This window comes from Homo sapiens, chromosome 11, assembly GCF_000001405.40.
Source record: "Homo sapiens chromosome 11, GRCh38.p14 Primary Assembly".
Lineage (NCBI taxonomy): Eukaryota > Metazoa > Chordata > Mammalia > Primates > Hominidae > Homo > Homo sapiens.
In genome coordinates, this window is record NC_000011.10 from 60,210,689 (window position 1) to 60,235,469 (window position 24,781).

The following is a 24,781-nucleotide window of genomic DNA, read 5'->3' on the forward strand; positions in this document are numbered from 1 at the left end:
TATGTCTACCAGGGTGCCAACCCTGTGATGGGGCATACACTATGGGCTCATAGACCTGTGGACTGAATGTAAAGGTGCCCAGGCAAGAAGAGACTCATTGCTTCAAATTCCAGAAAGCTCTTATGGAAGTCCTCTGCTATTAGAACAGGCATAAAAATGTTCACACAGTTAATAGGAATTCATCATGACCTCTGGGAAAGGTGATTGAGATGAATGCAGAACCAGCTACGTAATTTACAGAGTGTCTTGTTTAAAATTTTTAAAAATAATTTCAAGATAGCAACAGCAGAGCATTAGACCAAGCACAGGGCTCTTCTAACTCTGAGGTCCTGAGTAACTGCACAGGTCCCATGCCCACGAAATCAGCCCTATGAACCTGGCCAATTCCAGATTTTGTCTCTATCATTGTGCCATTAAAGTCTATGAATGAAGAGAGCCTCATAAACTAAAAGTAAGGTTCTTCTTCGGGATAGCAATAGCAAATAAGAGGGAAATTAGAGACAAGAAGTTCTACAATTGAATCTTGCTTTTGCCAATTTCTAACTGAGTGACATTGGGAAAATTTGTCAAATTCTCAAAAGAAACTTTCTTTTCTTATCTTGAGTGAGTGGCAAGAAATAAAATTACTTACTATAAAAAGCATTAGATATCTCAAGGGAAGTAAATTAGTTTCGCAAAGACACCTCAAGCGGTTATTTTGGTGTGACTACGTAGCCCTCAAGACTATGTGGGATTAGCTAGAAATGAAGTAAACAGAATGCAGTTGATTCTGTCTAGTAAGTTAGGAAGAGTGTTGAGTTTCCACATACACATGAGGGAAGGGCACAGTGAGGAAAAGAACTAAGCAGCAAGGCGAAAGGCTGAAAGTTCATAGAGAGGAAAAGTAACTGAAAGTTTGGTGGTGTTGAAAATGACCAGTAGGCTTTTTAATAATAAAGATTTGGCTGGGCACAGTGGCTCACACCTGTAATCCCAGCAGTTTAGGAGGCCGAGGTGGGTGGATCACCTGAGGTCAGGAGTTCAAGACCAGGCTGGCCAACATGGAGAAACCCCGTCTCCACTAAAAATACAAAAATTAGCCAGGCGTGGTGGCACATGCCTGTAATTCCAGCTACTTGGGATGCTGAGGCAGGAGAATCACTTGAACCCAGGAGGTGGAGTTTGCAATGAGCAGAGATTGTGCCACCACGTGCATTGTGAACTGCACTGCACTCCAGCCTGGGCAACAAGAGTGAAACTCCATCTCTAACAATAATAATAATAATAATTATAAAGATTAAATTGTGCATTTTAGTCTGCTGTGATGTGCTGCAAGAACTCTTCCCCCACACTTACCCAATGGCCCAAAACATCAAGAACTTTTATTACTTACAAAATGTTGTGTAAGTGGTAATTTTCAGAATAAAGCAATTGAGATAGCATTGAAATAAGGACAACTGGTACAAAAAAAGTAGTAAAATTCAGAATGGAGATTGAGAATTTTTCAGGTGCCACATGTTGAGGATAAAAGTGGTTAACGTTGCAAGAACATCCAAAGATGTGGGAAAGGATACTGAGTTACCACTTATAAAATACTGTTCAAGACAATTTTACTTTATTATTTGAGAATAGGCACTGACATCTTTTTTTTTTTTTTTTTGAGACAGAGTCTCACTCTTTCGCCCAGGCCAGACTGCAGTGGCACTATCTCGGCTCACTGCAAGCTCCACCTCCTGGGTTCACGCCATTCTCCTGCCTCAGCCTCCCGAGTAGCTGGAACTACAGGTGCCCGCCACCATGCCTGGCTAATTTTTTGTATTTTTAGTAGAGATGGGGTTTCACCATGTTAGCCAGGATGGTCTCGATCTCCTGACCTCGTGATCCGCCTGGCTCGGCCTCCCAAAGTGCTGGGATTACAGGCGTGAGCCACCGTGTCCGGCTGGGACTGACTTTTTGACGCCATTTTTAGAGGGGTCTGGAGGAGATAACAGTAGACACTGCATCAATGTTTTAAAATTAAACATAAAAATTTATGCAAAATGCCCAGCCCAGTAACTATTAAGGAGTAGGTGTTCTATAACTATAAGCTTTCTTCCCATTTTGCCTCATCACATATAGAGGAAAAATAAAGACAGAGATGAGATGTGTACCTGACTCCTAAATGAAAGATTATTCTATTTCTCAATCACTTACAACTTCCAAAGTCATTCAGCAATTAGGAAATGATAATTATTGTTGTTGCCAGAGCCAGCACTCCCCTAAACTTGCTTCTATGATAATATCTCATGAAAAGAGAAAACACTCACCATTAAAATGGACATAGTCATGTAACAATTACTTGACAACTGATCGTGGTTACAGTAATGGTAACGGAATGAATAAAACGTCAAGCTTATTGCATTGATTAAGATCCCTGATATAGCCAAGACTGAACTGGTGATATTCTTTCCTAGACTACCTCCAACCTAGAAAGAAATGAAAATTAATTAAGCAATCCAACATCATCCTCAGATATATCTCTGTTAATTACTTTACACTGCTGTCTACCTTTATCTTATTTCAATAGTCTTCTAACTTGTCTCCTTATAGTGGTTTCAACTCTGATCTCTCGCCAAAACACAAATATGATCCCATTATTCTCCAGCTTAAATTCTTCAGATAATTCCTGTGAGAAGATGAGATAATCTCCAAATCATTTATCAGGGTTTTCAATGATTTTTTACACATTAGCTGGACAGTCATGTCTGTGTCCTTCCCTGCCATTCCTTGCTTCTGGTGCCCGATCTCTTATCATTGTTCTAAACACTGCTTGCCTCTCATGCCTCTCTACATTTTAAATTATTTTTCTCGGTTGTGTATTCCTTTTTGTACTTTCTCTTCTCATGGGTAAGGTAAGGAGGCTTTTTATAAGTATTAAAATTACACAGGAAAGTGTGAAGAGTGTAGTGTGGCTGCAGGTCCCGGCAGACACTAGGAAGTTGGGTTAGGCCAGATTTGGAAAACCGATATTGATCATGCTCCAGAGTTTGATATTTATCTTTTGAACAAAGAAAACTCAAATAGTGTTTAGCCAGAAAAACCCTTGTTGAGATCTTGGCTTTTGCATTTTATTGGCTTTATGAAAGGCATCTTGACATGAGAGTTACATTTTAAATTTGCTGCTTCTTATGTAATAATTTTATTGTGAATTTCTTATATTGAAAATTCAAAATCCTTTTTGGATACAGTTGGAATCTACTTTTTTTTTTTCCTTTTTGAGATGGAGTCTTGCTCTGTCACCAGGCTGAAGTGCAGTGGCACAATCTCAGCTCACTGCAACCTCCGCCTCCAGGGTTCAAGCAATTCTCCTGCCTCAGCCTCCTGAGTAGCTGGGATTACAGGCGCCCGTCACCACGCCTGGTAATTTTTTTGTATTTTTAGTAGAGAAGGGGTTTCACCATGTTGGCCAGGCTGGTTGCAAACTCCTGACTTCAAATGATCCACTCACCTAGGCCTCCCAAAGTCTTAGGATTACAGGCATGAGCCACCGCGCCCGGCCAGAATCTACCTTTTAATCAATTGGTCAATAAACATTATGCCACACCAATACTTGGTGTGACTGTCATGGGCTGAATCCCAAGCTGCAGAGTTTTTTTGAGTGATCCCACTTCATATTTGTTCTAAATAATTTTCCATATCTTCATAAAGATTCCCTCATCAACTACCTTGACAAAATATCCATTATTATGTCAGTAATTCTATCATTAGCCTTATCGTAATTTTTGAGACAGATCCTGCTAAGTAAAATGCATAGTTGCTCCTGACTTTTTTAAAAACAAACAAACAAAACCTGTTTTATACCCTGGCAGAATACATTATTGATTAATCCTTTCCTTTTGATACCCCCCACAAAACATTACTCACCAGACCTTTTGTTGTTCTAATTCCTGCTGCAACTGATAAGGATACTGAAATAATAAAATAAGAATGAGAGAAAAAAATGGAGATAAAAAGTTTTAAACAAGTATTGGAAATCACAACTTAGTAAACTTTATTCCAAATTAGATAGATATGTATAAACAGGTCAATTATCTTAGAAAGCAAGAGATTGCACATAATTTTCTCTTTTCCCAGAAAGAACAGAAAAATTCTGCCAGATGAGTCCACCGGATAATTTATCAAGCCTTTCAAATAATAGCTAACTGGAATGATATTAAAACTGTTTGAGGACACTGAAAGATAAAGCTTCCAAATTCCTGATAAGAAGTAATTCTTATATGGTATTAATATTGAATACAATAAACAAAAAATGTACTAAAATAATTCTCATTGAAAATATGTTTAAAAAGTTATAAAATAAAATAGTAGCACATAAAATTTAGTTCCCAGTTATTTGATAACTAGAATATACTACTTCATCTGAATCCATCAATGGGGCAATTATTTTTCATTTAGCCAAAATAGCTAATCAAGTTGGTTGGACTCTCTACCTTATAATATTCCATTATTAGAGTTTTTTATTTCCTTTACAAATTTGATCTCAGATGATTCAAAAATTATATCCTAATATAAAGAAACTGGACTAATAAAATAGCTCAATAAACTTCTTTAGTTTCCAAATACCCAGACATAGAGATGATTCATGTTATCTAAATCACCATTGGAAAAAAAATAACAGTAGAGCAAATCATCCATCATGTAACATAAAATACATCATGAACATTTGGGATGTTCCTTCAACTCTACAAAGATTTTTAATATTGAAATATTCTAATATATATAATAAATAAATTTAAGAAAAACGTTACCTGTTAATTGCTACTCATGTTTACAGTGTTGATAGGATAGGACATTTAATACAATCCAACATTATTAGTGACTTAAACATTATTGGTAAAATATAAATAATTATACTTTCTGTAACAAGATAGGACATCTGTCTCAGTCTACAAGTCTTTATCATGTTTAATGATTAAAAAAAAAGTAGGACCATCTTATTAAAGTCAAAATCAAGATAAACATGTAGACTATTATGTATTACTATTTGGGGTATATTAACCAAAATAATTATATAAGAAAAATAGTTGAAACAAATGGCTAAAACTACTGTTATTTAAGTATGAATAACATATATTGCAAACATCCAAGAATATAAACTAAAAAGTACCATAAACTCTTTAAAAAATTCAGTAAAGCACCTTGGAAAAATGTTATATACAGAAATTAGATAAACATATTAGAAGTGTGTATGTATGTTTGTGTATTTGAAGATAGGATTGAAAAAAGGGATTTCATTTACCACAGGAAAAAATATGTATATGGTATCTCAGAGGAAAAACTTAACAAAGAATGTGAAACATAAATAGGAATAGAACTGAAGAGGCCAAGGATAATACAAACTTACAGCTGGCTCTTGGTACTGGTACTTATACTGTAAAAGGGAGAAAAGAGAGGCACTTTGCAGGTGATGTTCGGAAAAAAAGGTTGAAAGAATAATGGAAGGTAGCAGCAAAAAAGGGTTTTACCAATTTACTGCATTTACCAATCTAGTTCAATGCCTACAAGAGTCTGAGTGATGACTCAGTGGACAAACACAGCTCCTGCAGTTCTTGGTAATCTACTGAACACGTGTGGAAGGCTAAAACCATGTAAGCTGGTTTTCAATGAGATCTTGAAAAGAAAATGGACATGAAAGCGGAAACCTAGGTAGTTACATGTATGTGATTCTGATAATGGAGTGACCCTATTTGAACCCTGATCCTGTACCAAACAGTTGTGATCTTGAGCAAGTTACTTAACCTCTCTTCATCCATAAAATGAAGATAATGAGAAATCCTCCCTCAAAAGTTTGTGGTGATGATGTGAAATAAAAAGTACACATAAAAAGCACTTAGCAGAATGTCCAGATCATAGTAAGAGTTTAATAAAAAGCTATTATTGACATTGGTAATATATATATTATATATATAGGTTATATATCATATGTATATATATATATTGCAACTTTCCAGAGATGGAACAGTGTTTGCTGTCTGTTATGGTTAATATTGAGTGTCAACTTGATTGAATTGAAGGATGCAAAGTATTGTTCCTGGGTGTGTCTGTGAGGGTGTTGACAAAGGAGATTAACATTTGAGTTGGTGGACTAGGAAAGGGAGACCCATCCTCAGTCAATCAGCTGCCAGCATAGCCAGAATAAAAGGAGGCAGAAAAACATGGAAAGACTAGACTCATTTAGTCTTCTGGTCTTAATAAACTGCCCTTTATGTATACATCTATCCTATTAGTTCTATCCCTCTAGAGAACCCTGACTATCCTATTAGTTCTATTCCTCTAGAGAACCCTGACTAATACAGATTTTGGTACCAGGAGATGATCTAGAAAAACAGAATATTAAGGATGGAGTTCTTTTTTTGGTTTTGCTCCTAAGTTCACTGGACAAAGTGATGAAAGAAAATTATGAACTCAGGGATTCTAACTCTAAGCTTCAGAAGCAGATACTGAGCCTCAAATCTTCTAAGATTGCCCTGAGTGAGAGTCTTATCTTCTGTAGAGAAAGAGCTGAAATTGTGGACACTCAGACACAAGCTTTTATCATGCGATTTGCTGACCTGCAACAAAAGGTGCATGCATAGACTCACCAGGTGTCTACTGTTAAAGCGAGAGCATTGATTGAAAAAGAATGGGACCCTGCAACTTGGAATGGGGATGTGCGGTAGAACCTTGATGAAGCTGGGGACACTGAGCTTGTAAACTCTCAGGAGCCTTTTTTTTGCCAGAAAAAACAGCTTCCCCATCACCAGTAGTGGCAACATCCCCTCCCTAACCCACACTGCCATCAGCCTTTTCACCTTTGTCTAAGGAGATAAACCCTGCGCTGCCTAATGCAACAGTGATGTGTTGTGGGAAGTCAGGGACCCCAAACGGAGGGACCGGCTGAAGCCATGGCAGAAGAATGTGGATTGTGAAGATTTCATGGACATTTATGAGTTCCCCAAATTAATACTTTTATAATTTCTTATGCCTGCCTTTACTGCAATCTCTAAACATAAATTGTAAAGATTTCATGGACACTTATCACTTCCTCAATCAATACCCTTGTGATTTCCTATGCCCGTCTTTACTTTCATCTCTTAATCCTGTCAGCTGAGGAAGATGTAAGTCGCCTCAGGACCCTGTAATAATTGCATTAACTGCACAAATTGTACAGCATGTGTGTTTAAACAATATGAAATCTGGGCACCTTGAAAAAAGAACAGGATAACAGCAATTATTCAGGGAATAAGAGAGAGAACCTTAAATTCTGACCACCGGTGAGCCGGGCAGAACAGAGCCATATTTCTCTTCTTTCAAAAGCAAATGGGAGAAAGATTGCTGAATTCTTTTTCTCAGCAAGGAACATCCCTGGGAAAGAGAATACGCGCCTGGGGGTATAGGCCTATAAATGGCCCCCCAGATGTGCCGGTCTCTTATGGTCGAGGCTGTAGGGGTGAAATAGACCCCAGTCTCCCATAGCGCTCCCAGGCTTATTAGGAAGAGGAAATTCCCGCCTAATAAATTTTTGGTCAGACCAGTTGCTCTCAAAACCCTGTCTCCTGATAAGATGTTATCAATGACCATGGTGCCTCAAACTTCATTAGCAATTTTAATTTCACCCCGGTACTGTGGTCCTGTGATCTCGCCCTGCCTCCACTTGCCTTGTGATATTCTATTACCTTGTACAGTACTTGATGTCTGTGACCCACACCTATTCGCATACTCCCTCCCTTTTTGAAACTCCTTAATAAAAACTTACTGGTTTTTGCAGCTTGTGGGGTGTCACGGAACCTATCGACATGTGATGTCTTCCCTGGATGCCCAGCTTTAAAATTTCTCTCTTTTGTGTACTCTGTCCCTTTATTTCTCAAGCCAGCCAACGCTTAGGGAAAACAGAAAAGAACCTACGTGACTATCGGGGCAGGTTCCCCGATAGTGATGGCCTTCTCCTCAGGTGTTGCCAAGCAAGACAATGTTGATTCTCCTTAGGACCCACTCCCAAGGCCCCTGTTTGCTTCTAGACCTATAACTAAAGTCCCAGCAGGCCCCTAGAGGTGAGGTTCAGAATGCGATACACAAGAAAGTGTGCTACACTTGAAAAGAACTGCTTGAGTTTTCTAATTTATATAAGCAGAAATCTGGAAAACAGGCATGGGAATGAATATTAAGGGTGTGGGATAATGGTGGAAGAACATAGAGTTGGATCAGGCTGAATTTATTGATTTGGGCCCTCTAAGCAGGGATTCTGCATTTAATGTTGCAGCTTGCAGAGTTAAAAAAGTTCTAGTTTATTTGCTTGGTTAGCTGAAATATGGATTAAAAGATGGCCCACTGTGGGTGAGCTGAAAATGCCTGATCTCCTTGGTTTAATGTAGAGGAAGGGATCCAAAGGCTTAGGCAGATTGTGATGAAGGAGTGGATTAGTCACTTTAAGCCTATTCATCCCAGCTGGGAGGGTTCAGAAGATATACCCTTGACCAGTACTTTGTGAAATAGATTTGAGAGGGCAGCACTTGCATCCTTGAAGAGCTCTGTGATTGCCTTTCTCTGTATGCCAGATCTTACAGTAGAAACTGTAGTCACTCAACTACAAAATTTAAATGCAATAAAAATAATTGGATCTAGAGACAGCAGGGGCCAAATGGCAGCACTCAGCCATCAAAGGAAAGGTAGGCATAGCTACCATAATAGACAGAAGAGGCAAAGCAGCAATCAGAATAGTCTGACTTGTGTAGAGCTCTGGTATTGGCTAATTAATTACAGCGTTCCTAGAAGTGAAATTGACAGGAAGCTTACCGAATTCTTACTTAATTTACATAAGCAGAAAACTTCCAGGTCGAGTGGACAAAACACTAATTTGAATTATAAAAACAGAGAATCGCAGCCCCACTATCAATTTCCAGACATATGCCATTTTACAGACCCAGAACCCCTTGAATGAAAAGGAGGCCAGGTCCTCTTAAAGAAGGATCCCACTATACTACTGACAATTTATGTTGTTAATCTTTCTCCCATCCTTCCTCAAGGAGACCTCTGGCCTTTTACCAGGTAACTGGATTGGGGAAAGAAAGAAAAAATGATCAGACCTTTTGGGAACTACTGGACACTGACTCTGAGCTGACATTGATTCCAGGGGACCCAAAAAGTCATTGTGATCCTCCAGTTATAGTAGGGGCTTATGGAGGTCATGTAATTAATGGAGCTTTAGCTCAGGTTCAACTTACAGTGGCTCCAGTGGGTCCCCACACTCATCCTGCATTCATTTCCCCAGTGCCAGAATGCATAATTGACACAGACATGCTTAGCAGCTGTCAGGACCCCCACACTGGCCCCTGACTCATAGAGTGAAGGCTACTATGGTGGAAAAGGCCAAATGGAAGCCATTAGAGCTGCCTCTACCTAGAAAAGCAGTAAATCAACAACAATATCCCATCCCTGAAGGGATTGCAGACATTAGTGCCACCATCAAGGACTTAAAATATGCAAGGGTGATGATTCCCACCACATCCCCATTCAACTCTCCCATTTGGCCAGTGCAGAAGACAGATGGATCTTGGAGAATGACAGTGGATTATCATGAGCTTAACCAAGTAGTGACTCCAGTTGCAGTTGCTGTACCAGATGTGGTTTCATTGCTTGAGCAAATTAACCCATCTTCTGGTACCTGGTAAGCAGCCATTGATTTGGTAAATGCCTTTTTCTCCATTCCTGTCTATAAGGCCCACCAGAAGCAATTTACCTTCAGCTGGCAAGACCAGCAATGTACCTTTACTGTCCTACCTCAGGGGTATATCAACTCTTCTCTGGCTTTGTGTCATGACCTTGTTCAGGGAGATCTTGATCACTTTTCCCTTCCACAAAATATCACACTGGTCCATTATATTGATGCCATTATACTGATGGGATCCAGTGAGCAAGAAGTAGCAAGCACACTGGACTTATTGGTAAGACATTTGCATGCCAGAGGATGGGAAATAAATATGACTAAAATTCAGGGACCTTCTACCTCAGTAAAATTTCTAGGGGTTCAGTGGTGTGGGGCCTGTCAAGATGTTCCTTCTAAGGTGAAGGATAAGTTGCTGTATTTGCCCCCACCCCCTACAACCAAGAAAGACTCACAATGCCTAGTGGGCTTATTTGGGTTTTGGAGGCCACACATTCGTTACCTGGGGGTGTTACTTGGCCCATTAATCAAGAGACCTGAAAGGCTTCCAGTTTTGAGTGGGGTCCAGGACAGGAGAAGGCTCTGCAACAGGTCCAAACTGCTATGCAAGTTGCTCTGTCACTTGGGCCATAGAACAGAGCAGATCTAATTGTGCTTGAGGTGTCAGCAGCAGAGAGGGATGCTGTTAGGAGCCTTTGGAAGTCCCCCATAGATGAATCACAGCAGAGGCCTCTAGGATTTTGGAGGAAGGCCCTGCCATCTTCTGCAGATAACTACTTTCCTTTTTAGAAAGAGCTCTTGCCCTGTTACTGGACTTTGGTAGAAACTAAACGGTTGGCTATGGGTCATCAAGTCACCATGCGACCTGAACTACCTATCATGAATTGAGTGCTTTCTGACTTGTCTAGCCAAAAGTGGGGCATGCACAGCAGCATTCCATCATCAAATGGAAGTGGCATATATGTGATCAGGCTTGAGCAACTCCTGAGGGCACAAGTAAGTTATATGAGGAAGTGGCACAAATGCTCATGATCCCCATTCCTGCCACACTGCCTTCTCTCCCCCAGCCTGCACTGATGGTCTCATGGGGAGTTCCCCAGGATCAATTAACAGAGGAAGAGAAGACAAGGGCCCTGTTTACAGATGGCTCTGCACGATATGCAGGCACCACCTCAAAGTGGTCAGCTGCAGCACTACAGCCCCTTCCTAGGACATCCCTGAAGGACAGCGGTGAAGGAAAATCGTCCCAGTGGGCAGAATGTTGAGCACTGCACCTCATTGTGCACTTTGCTTGGAAGGAGAAATGGCCAGATCTGCAATTATATACTGATTCATGGGCTATAGCCAATGGTTTGGCTGAGTAGTCAGGGACTTGGAAGAAGCATGATAGGAAAATTGGTGACAAATAAATTTTGGGAAGAGGTATGTGAATGGACCTCTCCGAGTGGTCAAAAACTGTGAAGATATTTGTATTTCATGTGAGTGCTTATCAAACGGTGACCTCAGCAGAGGAGGATTTTAATAATCAAGTAAACAGGATGACTCATTCTATGGACACCAGTCAGCCTCTTTCTCCAGCCACCCCTGTCATTGCCCAATGAGTCCATGAACGAAGTGGCCATGGTGGCAGGGATGGAGGATATGCATGGGCTCAGCAACATGGACTTCCATTCACTGACCTGGCTATGGCCACTGCTGAGCACCTAATTTGCCAGCAGCAAAGACCAGCACTGAGCCCTCAATATAGCACCATTCCTCGGAATGATCAGCCAGCTACTTGGTGGCAAGTTGATTATATTAGACCTCTTCCATCACGGAAAGGGCAGCGGTTTTTCCTCACCAGAATAGACACTTACTTTGGATATGGGTTTGCCTATCCTGCACACAATGCTTCTGGCAAGACTACAATCCAAGAACTCATGGAATGCCTTAACCACTGTCATGGTATCCCACATAGCATTGCCTCTGACCAAGGCACTCACTTGTTGGCTAAAGAAATGCGGCAGTGGGCTCATTCTCATGGAATTCACTGGTCTTACCATGTTTCCCATCATCCTGAAGCAGCTGGATTGATAGAATGGTGGAATGTCCTTTTGAAGTCACAATTACAACATCAACCAGGTGACAATACTTTTCAGGGCTGGGGCAATGTTCTCCAGAAGGCTGTGCATGCTCTGAATCAGCGTCTAATATAAGGTACTGTTTCTGCTATAGCCAAGATTTGTGGGTCCAGAAATCAAGGGGTATAAGTGGAAGTGGCACCACTTACCATCACCCCTAGTGACCTACCAGCAAAATTTTTGCTTCCTGTTTCCACAACACTATGTTCTGCTGGCCTAGAGGTCTTAGTTCCAGAGGAAGGAACGTTGCCACCGGGAGACAACAATGATTTCATTAAGCTGGAAGTTAAGATTGCCACCTGGCCATTTTGGGCTCCTCTTACCTCTAAGTCAACCAGCTAAGAAGGGAGTTACAGTGTTGGCTAGGGTGACTGACCTGGACTATCAAGATAAAATTAGTCTACTACTCCACAATGGAGGTAAGGAAGTATGTGTGGAATACAGGAGATCCCTTAGGGTGTCTCTTAGTATTACCATGCCCTATGATTAAGGTCAATGGGAAACTACAACAACCCAATCTGGGCAGGACTACAAATGGCCCAGACTAGGCCTTCTGGAATGAAGGTTTTGGTCACTCCACCAGGAAAAAAAAAAACACAACCTGCTGAGGTGCTTCCTGAAGGCAAAGGGAATACAGAATCGGTGGTAGAAGAAGGCTGTCATCAATACCAGCTACAACCATGTGATCAGTTGCAGAAATGAAGACCGTAATTGTCATGAGTATTTCCTCCTTCTTTTGTTAAGAACATGTTTGTGCATGTATACATTTGTAGTAAGAAAATATCTTCATTTTATTTTCTTTCTTTTTTCTTTACCATGTGACATAAGACCTATTAACTTCATATTAGCATTTAAGTGTTGTTAACTTTAGGTAATAGCATTTGTATAGGGGATTGGTGCATTTTGGGTTGTACAAAAAATAGCTGCATTATGTTAGGCATAATTTTGGCCTTTTGTCTTTATTTTCTTTATTTGAAAATCATGTATGACTTCAGGAGATGTGTGTGGGTTCAGGTTGACAAGGGGTGGACTCTTGATGGTTAATATTGAATGTTAACTTGATTGGATTGAAGGATGCAAAATATCATTCCTGGATGTGACTATGAAGGGGTTGCCAAGGGAGATTAACATTTGAGTCAGTGGACTGGGAAAGGCAGACCCACCCTCAATCTGGGAGAGCACAATCTACTCAGCTGCCAGTGTGGCCAGAATAAAAGTAGGCAGAAGAACATAGAAACACTAGACTGGTTTAGTCTCTGGCCTACATCTTTCTCTCGTGCTGCATGTTTCCTACCCTCAAACATCAGATTTCAAGTTCTTCAGCTTTGGGACTCAAACTGGCTTCATTGCCCCTCAGCTTACAGATGGCCTATTGTGGGACCTCTCCTTGTGATTGTGTGACTCAATACTCCCTAATAAACTTCCTTTTATATATATACACATCTATCCTATTAGTTATGTCCCTCTAGAGAACCCTGACTAATACACTCTCCTTCAAATCTTTCACTTCCGCTGTACACGAGTGAAGGGGAGCAAAAATTAAGCTCTATTATAAAACTCTAAACTGTCTCATTCTCAGTTTTGGAAATAAATGGAAACCCTATAATGCTAGAATAGATTCCTTGATTCTAACATAAACCCGCCTCATAAATTTTATTTTTCTTTTGTCAATAGGTAAGACTTGGTATTTTATTCTCAATTTTACTTTCAATTTGCATCAAAACTCTCTTGTGTTTTCTCTTGGGAAAAGGTTTTTAAACTTAAATTCCAATTCTAATTTTAATTTAATATTAATCATAGTCACTGTTATTAAACTTATGAAACAAAATGTATCAAATAACAATTTAATTTTCTAAGGTAACAATTTCCTGAGATTTGATAGTCAGTAGACTCTATATTAGAAACTGCCTGTTTACCAGCCACATCTCTTTTTCCTTGCTAACTAAACCATCATTTTCTTCAGTTTTTCCTGAGCTAAAAGGTAGTGTAGACTCCTCCCAGCTACAGAGGTAAATCTTAATCAGTCTAAGCCAGTAATGGCAAGTCCATTACCCTTACTGATAGTTGATTTGGGCATATGTATATAAAATATTTATCAAAAATGAGATGTGTCTACCATCTCCCCTCTGGTATAGTCTGCTAGCAGTCCTTGATGAAATCCTTACACCACCAAATTAAACAATTCTGGAAATGATAAGCCCCTAATCTTGTTGTGAAACAATCAGTGCTTTCATTGCTTAAGTCATTCCAGTTTGGGTCTTTGGCAATGTGTTGCTGTAATATATCCTAACTGACTTATATAAAGTATTTAATCGCCTAGCTTTAAGTTTTATATTATTATTACTATTTTAAATATGAGAAAATTGAGTTTAAAAAGGTTAGATACCATTCTCAAATTTACAGAATTACAAGATAGAATTAGAATAAAATTGCAAAGATCAGGGTATTTACACCTCTATTATGTTATATCCAATTATATCAAAAAATACCCTGCTTACCATCACTGACCCCCAAATTGTGTACGCAACATACACAAAAATGGGATGTTCTTCATAAGAACTAAATGCAACACACATCATTATTATTCCCATGCTAAGGCTCATCAAGGCAATCAGAATCCGCACAACCTAGAAATGATGAAAGCAAAAACTGATTATCCACCACAAAAATGGTGCTTATGCCACTCCCTTTCCAATCACTAAGCTATCCTTATTCTTTTTCATTTGATATAGTCATATGACCTTGATATTCTGTTGTCACTCTTTTTTTCACATAAAGAACCATGAATATTATCTTACCAATATTATCTCTCAGCATCTCTACCACTGTCAATCATTTCACGGTTAAAAGGAGTATGCCAGAACCAGCCCAGAGGTGCTTTTCTGATACCTAGGATGCTACTTCTACCGCAACTGTTTCTCTCTTTTGTCACACACTCAGAGAAAAGTGGCCAAGGAATTAGAAAGCAATTATTGTAGCAAGGGGAAGTAACCTGAAGAAAAAGGAGTGTATACAAGGGAAGAAAAAAAGAAGAGCAAATCTGATGTTTTCTTGACGTCTGGGCCTGAGGACATGAACATGAGTAAACAGCGTTCTTAAAATAGGAGCTGGAGTACAATTATCTCATGGCATTATAAATGGGTCAAAAAATTAAAACAACTTATCAAAATTTATGGGATGTAGTGAAAGCAGTGCTTAGAAAAAATTTATAACATTGAATGAATATATTAGAAAATAATGATCAAAATCAATCACCTGAGAGTCTACCTTAAGAAACTGGAAAAAGAAAAGCAAATTAAACTCCAAGTAAGCGGAAGAAAAAAAAGTAATAGAAATTAGAGCAGAAATCATAAAATTAAAAACAGAAAATTAATAGACAAACTCAATGAAATCCAATGCTTTTTTTTAAAAAAAAGAAAAATACATAAATAAAATCAATAAGCCTTTAGCCAGTCTAAGAGAAAGAGAGAGAGGACACAGATTACTCATAAGTGAAAGGGGGAATATCACTACAGTTCCCATAGTAATTAAAAGGATAATAAAATAACTCTACGAACAATTCTGTGCCCACAATTTGATAACCTTGAGCCAATGAATTGCTCCTTAAAGACAATTTGTCAAAATTCACACAAGAAGAAATAGGCACTCTGAATAAGCCTATAATTATTAAATAAATAAAATAAATAATTAATTAATTTTCAAAACAGAAAGCACCAGGCCTGGAAAGGTTTGGAATTCTACCAAACACTTGAAAATGAAATTATACCAATTCTTTACAGAAAACAGAAAAAGAGGAAATACTCCCTAACTCATTCTATGGAGCTAGCACTATTATCTACCAAAAAAAAAAGTCAAAAACATTACAAGAAAAGAAAACTGCAGACCAACATCTCTGGTGAACAAAGATGCAAAAATTCCCAACAAAACATGTGCAAACTAAATCTAATAGTGTATCAAAAGAATTATATACCATAACCATATGGGATTTATCCCAGATATGCAAGGCTGACTAGACATTCAAAAATCAATGAATGTAACTAATGACATCAACAGGCTAAAAGGAAGAAAAATCACATGATTATATCAACAGATGCAGGAAAAATATTGAGCAAAATCCAATGCCTGTTTATTATAAAAACTTTTGAAAAACTATTAATAGAGGATAACTTGTTTAGGTTGATAAAGAATATTTATTAATAAAACTACAGCTAACTTCATACTTAATGGAGAAATTCAAAGCTTTCTCACTAAGATCAGGACCAAGGCAGGGATAAGCCTGTCACTACTCCTTTTACCATTTACTGGAAGTCATAGCTGAAATGGTAAGACAAGAAAAGGAAATAAAGGTATACAATTGGTAAGGAAAAAAATAAAACTGCTTTTATTCACAGATGACGTGATTGTCTGTGTAGAATATCTGAAAGAATCAACCAAAAACTCCTGGAATTAACAAATGATTATATTAAGGTTGTAGGATACAAGCTTAATACACAAGAGTCAATTACTTTCTTATGTACTTATAGTAAATAAGTGAAATTTGAAATTAAAAATGCAATACTATTTAAATTAGCAACCCTAAAAATTAAATATTTAGGTATTGGTATTTGGTGTTTGTTAGGCATAAATCTAACAAACTATGTACAAAATCTATAAGAGAAACTTAAAAAAAAATAAGTCGAATAACTAAATAAATGGAGAGATATTCCATGTCCATGGATAGGAAGACTCAACATTGTCAAGACATCAGTTCTTCCCAATTTAATCTGTAGATTTAATGCAATCTCCCTCAAAATATTAGCAAATGGCCGGGCGTGGTGGCTCACCCCTGTAATCCCAGCACTTTGGGAGGCCGAAGCGGGCGGATCACGAGGTCAGGAGATTGAGACCATCCTGGCTAACATGGTGAAACCCCATCTCTACTAAAAATACAAAAAGTTAGCCAGGCATAGTGGCAGGCGCCTGTAGTCCCAGCTACTCCAGAGGCTGAGGCAGGAGAATGGTGTGAACCCGGGAGGCAGAGCTTGCAGTGAGCTGAGATTGGGCCACTGCACTCCAGCCTGGGTGACAGCGCCAGACTCCATCTCAAAATATATATATATATATTAGCAAATTATTTGTGTATATTGATAAACTGACTCTAAAGTTTATAGGGAAAGGCAAAAGACTTAGAATAACAAAAACAATCTTGAAGAAGAAGGAGTTTTAGGAGTAACACTACCCATCTTTAGGACAAACTATAAAGTGATAGTAATCAGGACTGTGTGATATTGGCAAAGAAATAGACAAATAGATCAAGGGAATAGAATAGAAAGCCTAGAAATAGACACAGAAGTATAGTCAAGTGATCTTTGATAAAGAACTAAGATAATACAATTAGAAGAATAGTCTTTCCAAAAAAAAAATACTACTTAAAAAACTGGACCTCCATAGGCAAAAATTGAACTTAGACACATACCTTGTATCCTTCACAAAAATTAACTCAAAATAAATCACAGACCCAAATGTTGAACTCAAAACTCTGAAACTCTTAACAGATGACATAGGCCAAAATCTAGATGACCTTGGTTTTGGTGATGAGTTTGTCAATACAATACCAAAGGCACAACCCATGAAATACCGAATTAATCATCTTAATTTTATTAAAATTAAAAAATTCTGCTCTGCAGAAGACACTGTCAGAAGAAAAGATAAACCACAGACTGACAGAAGGTATTTGCAAAAAACATACCTGACAAAGGATTGTTATTCAAAATATACAACGAAATTCAAACTCAACATTAAGAATACTAACATCCCAATTAAAAAAATGTGTCAAAAACTTTAATAAGACACCTCAAGAAAGAAGATATGGAGATGGTAAATAAACATATAAAAAGATGCCCCACATCTTATGTCACCAGGGAAATGAAAATTAAAATGGTAATGAGATTGGACTACACACCTATTAGAATGGTAAAAAATCCAGAACATTGAGGAAATCAAATGCTAGCAATTATGTAGAACAGCAGGAACTCTCCTTCATTGTTGACTGAAATCTTCAAAATTGCAAAGTAACAGGGAAGACAGTTTGGCAGTTTCTTACAAAACTAAACATACTCTTACAATACAATATAGTAATCATACTTACCCGAATGAGTTGAAAACTTATGTCCACACAAAACCTGCACACAGATATTTATAGCAACGTTACTCCTAATTGCCAAAGTTTGGAAGCCATCAAGATGTCCTTCTGTAGGTGAATGCATAAATAAACTGTGGTACCTCTAGACAATGAAATATTATTCAGTACTAAAAATAAATGAGCTATTAAGCCATAAGAAAACATAGAGGAAATTTAAATGCATGTTATTAGGTGAAGGAAGGCAGTCTTTAAAAACTACCTAATTTATAATGTTAACTGTATGACTTTCTGGAAAAGGCAAACTATGAAGACGATAGAAGATTAGTGATTGCCAGGGATTGGTGGGATACTGTATGATACTATAAAGGTAGATTCATATCACTATGCCTTTGTTAAAGCCCATAGAACACACAACACAGAGAATGAACCCCATTGTGATTTGTGTACTTTGAGTAATGATGTGTCAACATAGGTTCATCAACTGGAACAAATGTCCCACTCTGGTGGGGGAAGTTGATAATTGAAAAGCTATGCATGTGTCGGGGCAAGGGGCATATGGGATATACCTGTACTTTGCTCTCAATTGTTCTTTAAGCCTAAAACTGCTCTAAAACATACAGTATATTTTAAAATAATTATCCATACATTTAAAAATTGAACCTAGTATGTGCCAACATAAATAACATATTTTATGAGAAGTAACTATATTTCTCTCCAAAAAAATGAATAATGCAAAAAAAGAGAAGGAATCCAAAGAATCCACAGTGACATTTTCTCAGTGGTTTGAAGCTTGGGCTAGTGATAAACCTATATTTAATGTTCTTTCACCTTCCCTAACCTGTCACTGTTTTAATTCTATATTGTTTTTAGACACGTTCGCCTGAGACTCCAGAAGGAAATGCTCAGAGAATAGCAGATTTTTCATCCTCTGAGCAGTAGGCTAAGAAAAGCTGCAAGAAAGAAAGAGTAGCAATATACATCTATCAGCTGTCAGGAAGGCCTGTGGAGGGGGAGTCAGCTAGTGGACAGGTGGGCCTTTTCTTTTGCCGTTCTTCTATATTGAAGTTAAATATAATTATCATGGCTGACCCACAACCCTAGAATAGATCTGAAGTCAATATATTTTAAATATAATTAATTTGGAAGCAGGATGTGATAGAATATTATATATTTTTTCAAAGAAAGGGCCTGAAATTAAATTCTGATGTTACTAGGGCTGGTTGATGTATTATGAGGCTAGCGGGACAGTGTATTGGGCATTAGCTCTGATCAAATGTGAGTTTACAACACTATTGGTCTTCTCCCAGATTTGCAATTGACTTACCCCAAGGACTTTGGGTTTCCTCTTGAAGAACTTCTCTTGCAATCCTTTACACAGATATGAATGTATGACATCTATGTTTCCCAGCTGGGGCACATCAGGGCCAGCCCCTGGAGTGGTCTGTTCCATTCCTTGCATGGTTGTCATGGCAGCAGAAAAGGTGCTACAATAAGAAATGTAATTTAGGATGAGGTCCTGGAAATGACAAAAGAAAGTCTTGACACTTTGGGGCAGATTCCTCCCTAAGGACAAAACCTGGTCTACATTCCCCTCCAATATTATAACAGTTGTTAGAGCTAGGGAAGTGGAAGAGGCAACACATTAAGTGGGGGGTGGAGAGAGAGAGAGAGAGACTTAAATGTTATATGATATCAATAATATGCTAGGAGAGAGGACATGTTGACAGAAGTGAGGTAAATTAGAGAAATTTCTTCAACTTCAAATCCCAAGTCTGCTCAGATTTTATTTCTATCCCTTTTAATGCCTAGTCTCTTGATTACAGCCACTTCCCCATGAAGGATTACTTTTATAATAGTAATAAGCTACACAAATTCATCTGCCTTCCAATTTATTGTACAGTATTGTATAGTTCCTCCTTTTATAACCAAAGCACAGCTAAATTCTCAGGGCTGAAAATCTTCCCATGTAACCTTGTATTTTGTCCCATAAGCTCTGAACTCTGGGAATGAAACTTACAGCTCTGAGTCATATTCTTGGCACCACAAATTTAAATCTCTTTTCCTATTACAGTGCTTTAAATTCTAACTTGCTGGTGCATAGCAAGAATACATAAAGCCATTTTTTGAAATTCCAAGCACAAAGATATTACTTTTATGCCTCTGTCTCTCCTCAGTATAATGATTCCAACCAAGTAATGTGGAGATAGGCTAAAGCCACATGGAAATTTTTACCTATGTATTTGAATTGATATTCAGATGTTTCATGGCCCACTTCCATAAAATTTTAGGGAAGTGAAGCTTGCTAATATCCTTCAAGTCATAGTTGATTTCAGTGGAGCATATATGCTAAAAACTGTCAGGTTTGGAGATGTGTGCCCTTTTATTGGTAACATAAATGAAAAAAAAAGTTATTGTAGTCCAAATTTGCTATGTACAGAAAAAATTCAGATTTCTGTGGAAATAATTGTCATCGTGTATTTATCTCTGATAGATCAATGAAAATACATTATTAGCTATCTAGCAATAAAATTGATTAAAGTTGGGAGAAGGAGGGTGAATTTCAGAGAAAGCTAGAGGGGAAAAGTTAAAATGAAAATAAAAGATTAATCATTTAGAGCATTAATTTTAGTAATGTATACATTCAAAATTATGAAAAGCAGTAAAATAAAAAGTACAAAATTACAAATTATAAAATAAGAAGTTAAGTATTTTTAAAAGAAAGATAAATATAATTAATAATAAGAAATAAATAATGTAAATGTGATTGAAGTAGTTAAGATAAGGACTTAAATGTAAGAATGTAACCAAAAAGTCAATGTTCTTATTCTTATCTCATCTAGAAAAGTTCCAAAAACAATTTGGACAAACAGAATTAGAACTCCATTTTGTTATGAAAGTGGGAAACAACTAAAATCTCTATAAGTCAGGTGAAATGAGTGTTAAAAACAAAGATTGCATAAGGATAAATTTGGGGGAAAATGTAGAAACAGTATCAAAGAAACAGGACACTATGGTCACAGATTTCAGATTATACTTATCAAAGATAAGAGTCTCCTTGAGGTGTACAGCATAAATTATTGATCATAATCCTAGAAATTAAATGCATCAGCTGATACCTATCACTTCCCTGGAGAATTATAGTTCTGAGAACTATCAAAGTTAGTAGTAAAGGAGAAATCCCAACAAAAAGACATGCTTAGAAAGCAATTAGTCTCTGAATAAGTCTTACATTGGATTCCATAAAGAAGGAAGTAGATATGCTTGATACAAGCCTCCAAGAAGTCCCACAGATTAGGAGCATCTGGATATATATCACATATAGAATATGTAAAAAGTATGGATAATTTATTCAATTGAAAATGAAATCACAAAAATGAAAAGTTAAAGATAAAGTGCAAAAAGTGACACAATATGTTTGCAACATTGTCTCAAACAAATTTCAAATATAAAATAATGTTGACAGAAAAAATTTTGCCAATGTGTTAAATAACAAGGAATAGCTGAAAATAGAATTAGTCAACTGGAAAAAAATTGAAGAAATCACCAAGAATTCTACAGAAAAACAAGAAAATGGTCACAATAGAAGAAAGTTTAAAAGATTAGAAGTTTAGAATTAAAAGGTCTATAATATGTCTTCAGAATTCTAGAGAATGTCAGCAAGATGGCCAATTAGAAGTTACTAACCTCATCGCCATCAACACACACACACACACACACACACACACACACACACACCAAAAATGAATAAACAACTACATTCCAACCAAAATAACTAAGGAAGAGCTCCAGAAAACAGCAAAGGAGTAGCAGAAATCTTGTAGAGCACAGAAACCCAGAATGGCTGCAGGAAGAAGGAGAGAAAACACCTTTCTTCCATCACCCCTTCCCCCAGTTAGAACCAGCTCTGAGTCAGGAGGGCCTTCTTCCTACAGGGAAAAGGTTAGTGACAGGATCCCAGCAGCTCCCATCACCACCATAGACACCTGCAGTCTTACTACTGGAGACACATAGAGTCTTTACAGGCTCTGAGCTCAGCTGACAGAGCTACCTGAAGTCCACATGTCTGTTCTATCCCAGAGGAGGAGCTGACACTGTGCCCTGGCCCCCATGGCCTGAGTTGCTACTGTGCTGCCCCTTCTTGGAACTGAATCACTGGCTAGAGTGCATTCTGCTTCAGGAGTGAGTAGCCATTGCACCCCTCCATCTCTGAGACTTAACCACCACTACACTATGCACACGTGGAAGCCATTCCTGAGCCAAACTGCCGCTATCTACTCTCTACTCCCTGAGGCCAGGCTCCCATGGAACTGCTCCATGCCCCCATCTTAGTCGCTGGTGCACCCTGCCCCTCCAAACTCAAGTTGAAACTGTGCTCCACTCTCTGGGCACCCATAGCTTTGATTGAGCTACGTCACCCCACCATCCAGGCAAAATAGCTGCAGTGCCCCACCTCCCCGGAACTGACCTGTCCCCTGGAGTCCAAGCTTCTGAGAAACCCTGACTCCCCAGGGGGTCATTTCTGCACCTGCTCCAAGAAACCCAAGGAAAAAGCTACAGACAGGCCTAGTCATTCCTGAGGCCTTGCTGCTGCTACATCCAGCCTTACACAGCCTGGGATATTGCCATGCCCTACCATCCCAGGGTCTAGAGTTAACACTATGTGGCACTCCATTCCCCAGGGTTGGAATTGCTGCTATGCCCGATTGTCTCTGGAACCAAAATTTCAACAGTAACCTGCTCCCCAGAGCTCAAGCCTCCAAAGCACCCCTCTTTCCCTGGAGCCTTGATGATGTTGTGCACTGACCCCAGAATCAGTCTCAATTCCATCCCTGCTCCATGGGCTTGAGTTACTGAGGTGTGCTTTAGAGTTACAGCCTTAGCTTTGTGGGTAACCTGCATCCAGCCACAACTGGGTGAGTGAACCTGTGCCATATGCCACAGCAGTTTTGCAAAACCCTGAGCCTAGGACCTCAGCTCGCACTGCCACTATGCCTGGAATACCTGTGCCTGGAAGGCACAAGCTGTAAACCTTGGTGGAATCCATGTGTACAGGCTCACAGACTGCAAGAGATGTAGGGGCATGGCTTTCTCCACCTAGGATCAAAGAATATCACATATAGCTATGGGAGTGGAGCCACTTCTAAGAGCCTCTATTAGGGCAAAGCTGAGTGGGAATGCGGAGTCAGAGCCAACACAGAGAGTCCCAATTAGGGATATGCCTAGTGGAGCCTTGGGAGTGGGGCTACCTTTGAGATCTCAGAACTATAAGGCCACTAGCATGCAACTCCAACCTAACAGAGCTGAAGCACGGACTGAGTCCAGCAAAGATATGGGAGCAGGGTCATGTCTGAGGGCCCCAATCAGCACTCCCAGGATTCAGGACATGGAGTCAAAGGAAATTATTCTCCAGATTTAAAACATAATTCTGTTTTCTCTGTTGGATTTTGGACTCACTTGAAACCAGTTATGCCTTTTTCTTGCCTGGCTCTCTCTTTTGAACTGAGACAGTCTATTCTATACCTATCTCACCATTATATTTTGGAAACAAATCACTGGTTTTGATTTCACAGGCTCACAGCTGGAAACATTTGCCTCCAGATAAGTCATACCTTGAATCTCATCCATATCTGCTTCTGATGACTCTGGACTTAGAACTTTAGACTTGATGCTAGAATGGGTAAAAACTTTTGAGGCTATTGAAACAGAATTATTGTATTTTGTATGTGAGAAGAACATGAGTTTTGGAGGGTCGTGGATGAAATGCTATGATTTCACTGTCCCCTCTAAAACTCATGTGAAAACTTAATTGCCATTGTAACAGTTTTAAGAGGTGTGACCTTTCAGAGGTAATTACACCCAGAGACCTTCATCCTCGTGAATGGATAAATGTCATTATCATGGGAGAGGGTAAGCTATGGCAGGAGTGGACTCCTGATAAAGAATAAATTTGGCCCCATCTCTCTCTCTTTGCTTTGTGCACTCACTTCCATCTTTTTCCATGGGATCACCCTCACCAGAGGTTTATGTCATACATGCCCTTAGACTTCCCAGCCTCTAGAACTATAAGAACTGTAGAACTGCAGCAGATACATGAAAGATAAAAAAAATTAAAAGCTTAGTACTTCATAAAATTACCTAACCACAAAGGGAGACAAGAGATGAAGAAATAAACAAATATCTACAAAAACAACCCCCCCCCCCAAAATAACAAAATGGCACTACTAACTACTTACCTATTAATAATAACCTTAAATATAAAGGAATTAAATTCTTCAATCACAGAGTGGCTGAATTTAAAAAAAAAAACAGATCTATATGCTATAAGAGTCTCACTTTAGCTTTAAGAAAAAACACAGGCTGAAAGTGAAGGGATGAAATACTCCATGCAAATAGTAGTCAAAGGAGAAGGACTGCCTGTACTTAGGTCAGATAAAATAAACTTCTAATCAAAAACTGTCAAAAGAGGCAAAGAAGGTCATCATTTAATGAGCAATTGAGCATACAGTGTAGGTAACAGAAGGCATTAATGACAAACTACCAGAAGTTTTTGAGACAGGGTCTCACTCTATCACACAAGCTGGAGTGCAGTGGCGTTATCATGACTCACTGCAGCCTTGACCTCAGCCTCCAAAGTAGCTGGGATTACAGGTGCACACCAGCACACCCAGCTAATTTTTGTGCTTTTTGTAGAGACAGAGTTTTGCCATGTTGCCCAGGCTGTTCTCAAATTCACAGGGTCAAGCAATCTTCTTACCTCAGCCTCCCATAGTGCTTGGATTATAGGTGTGAGCCACAGTGACTGATCTTAAACCTCCAGATTTTTAACACGGACAAAGTAATTAATTGTTGGGCTTTCAACAGGGAAAGGACACTTGCAGTTTC

The 24,781-nt window shown here is 38.7% G+C and overlaps 1 protein-coding gene across 5 annotated transcripts in view; it reads right to left on the minus strand.

The window, feature by feature from the left end:
* The window catches only part of MS4A4E (membrane spanning 4-domains A4E), a 42,868-nt gene that overhangs the window by 10,419 nt on the left and 7,668 nt on the right, over positions 1-24,781 (minus strand). For 3 of the 5 annotated variants that reach the window (NM_001393391.1, XM_011545416.3, XM_017018641.2), the window contains exons 2-5: positions 19,224-19,383; positions 17,906-17,939; positions 3,883-3,926; positions 2,286-2,444 (exon numbers count right to left, since the gene is read on the minus strand). In NM_001393391.1, coding sequence (NP_001380320.1) covers positions 2,286-2,444; positions 3,883-3,926; positions 17,906-17,939; positions 19,224-19,367 — 381 coding nt within the window. In that variant the 5' untranslated portion in view covers positions 19,368-19,383. Of the gene's footprint in view, positions 1-1,821; positions 2,645-3,882; positions 3,927-14,276; positions 14,406-17,905; positions 17,940-19,223; positions 19,384-24,781 lie in introns of all 5 variants that reach the window. The other 2 variants (XR_007062493.1, NM_001351235.2) reach the window with 2 other exon arrangements.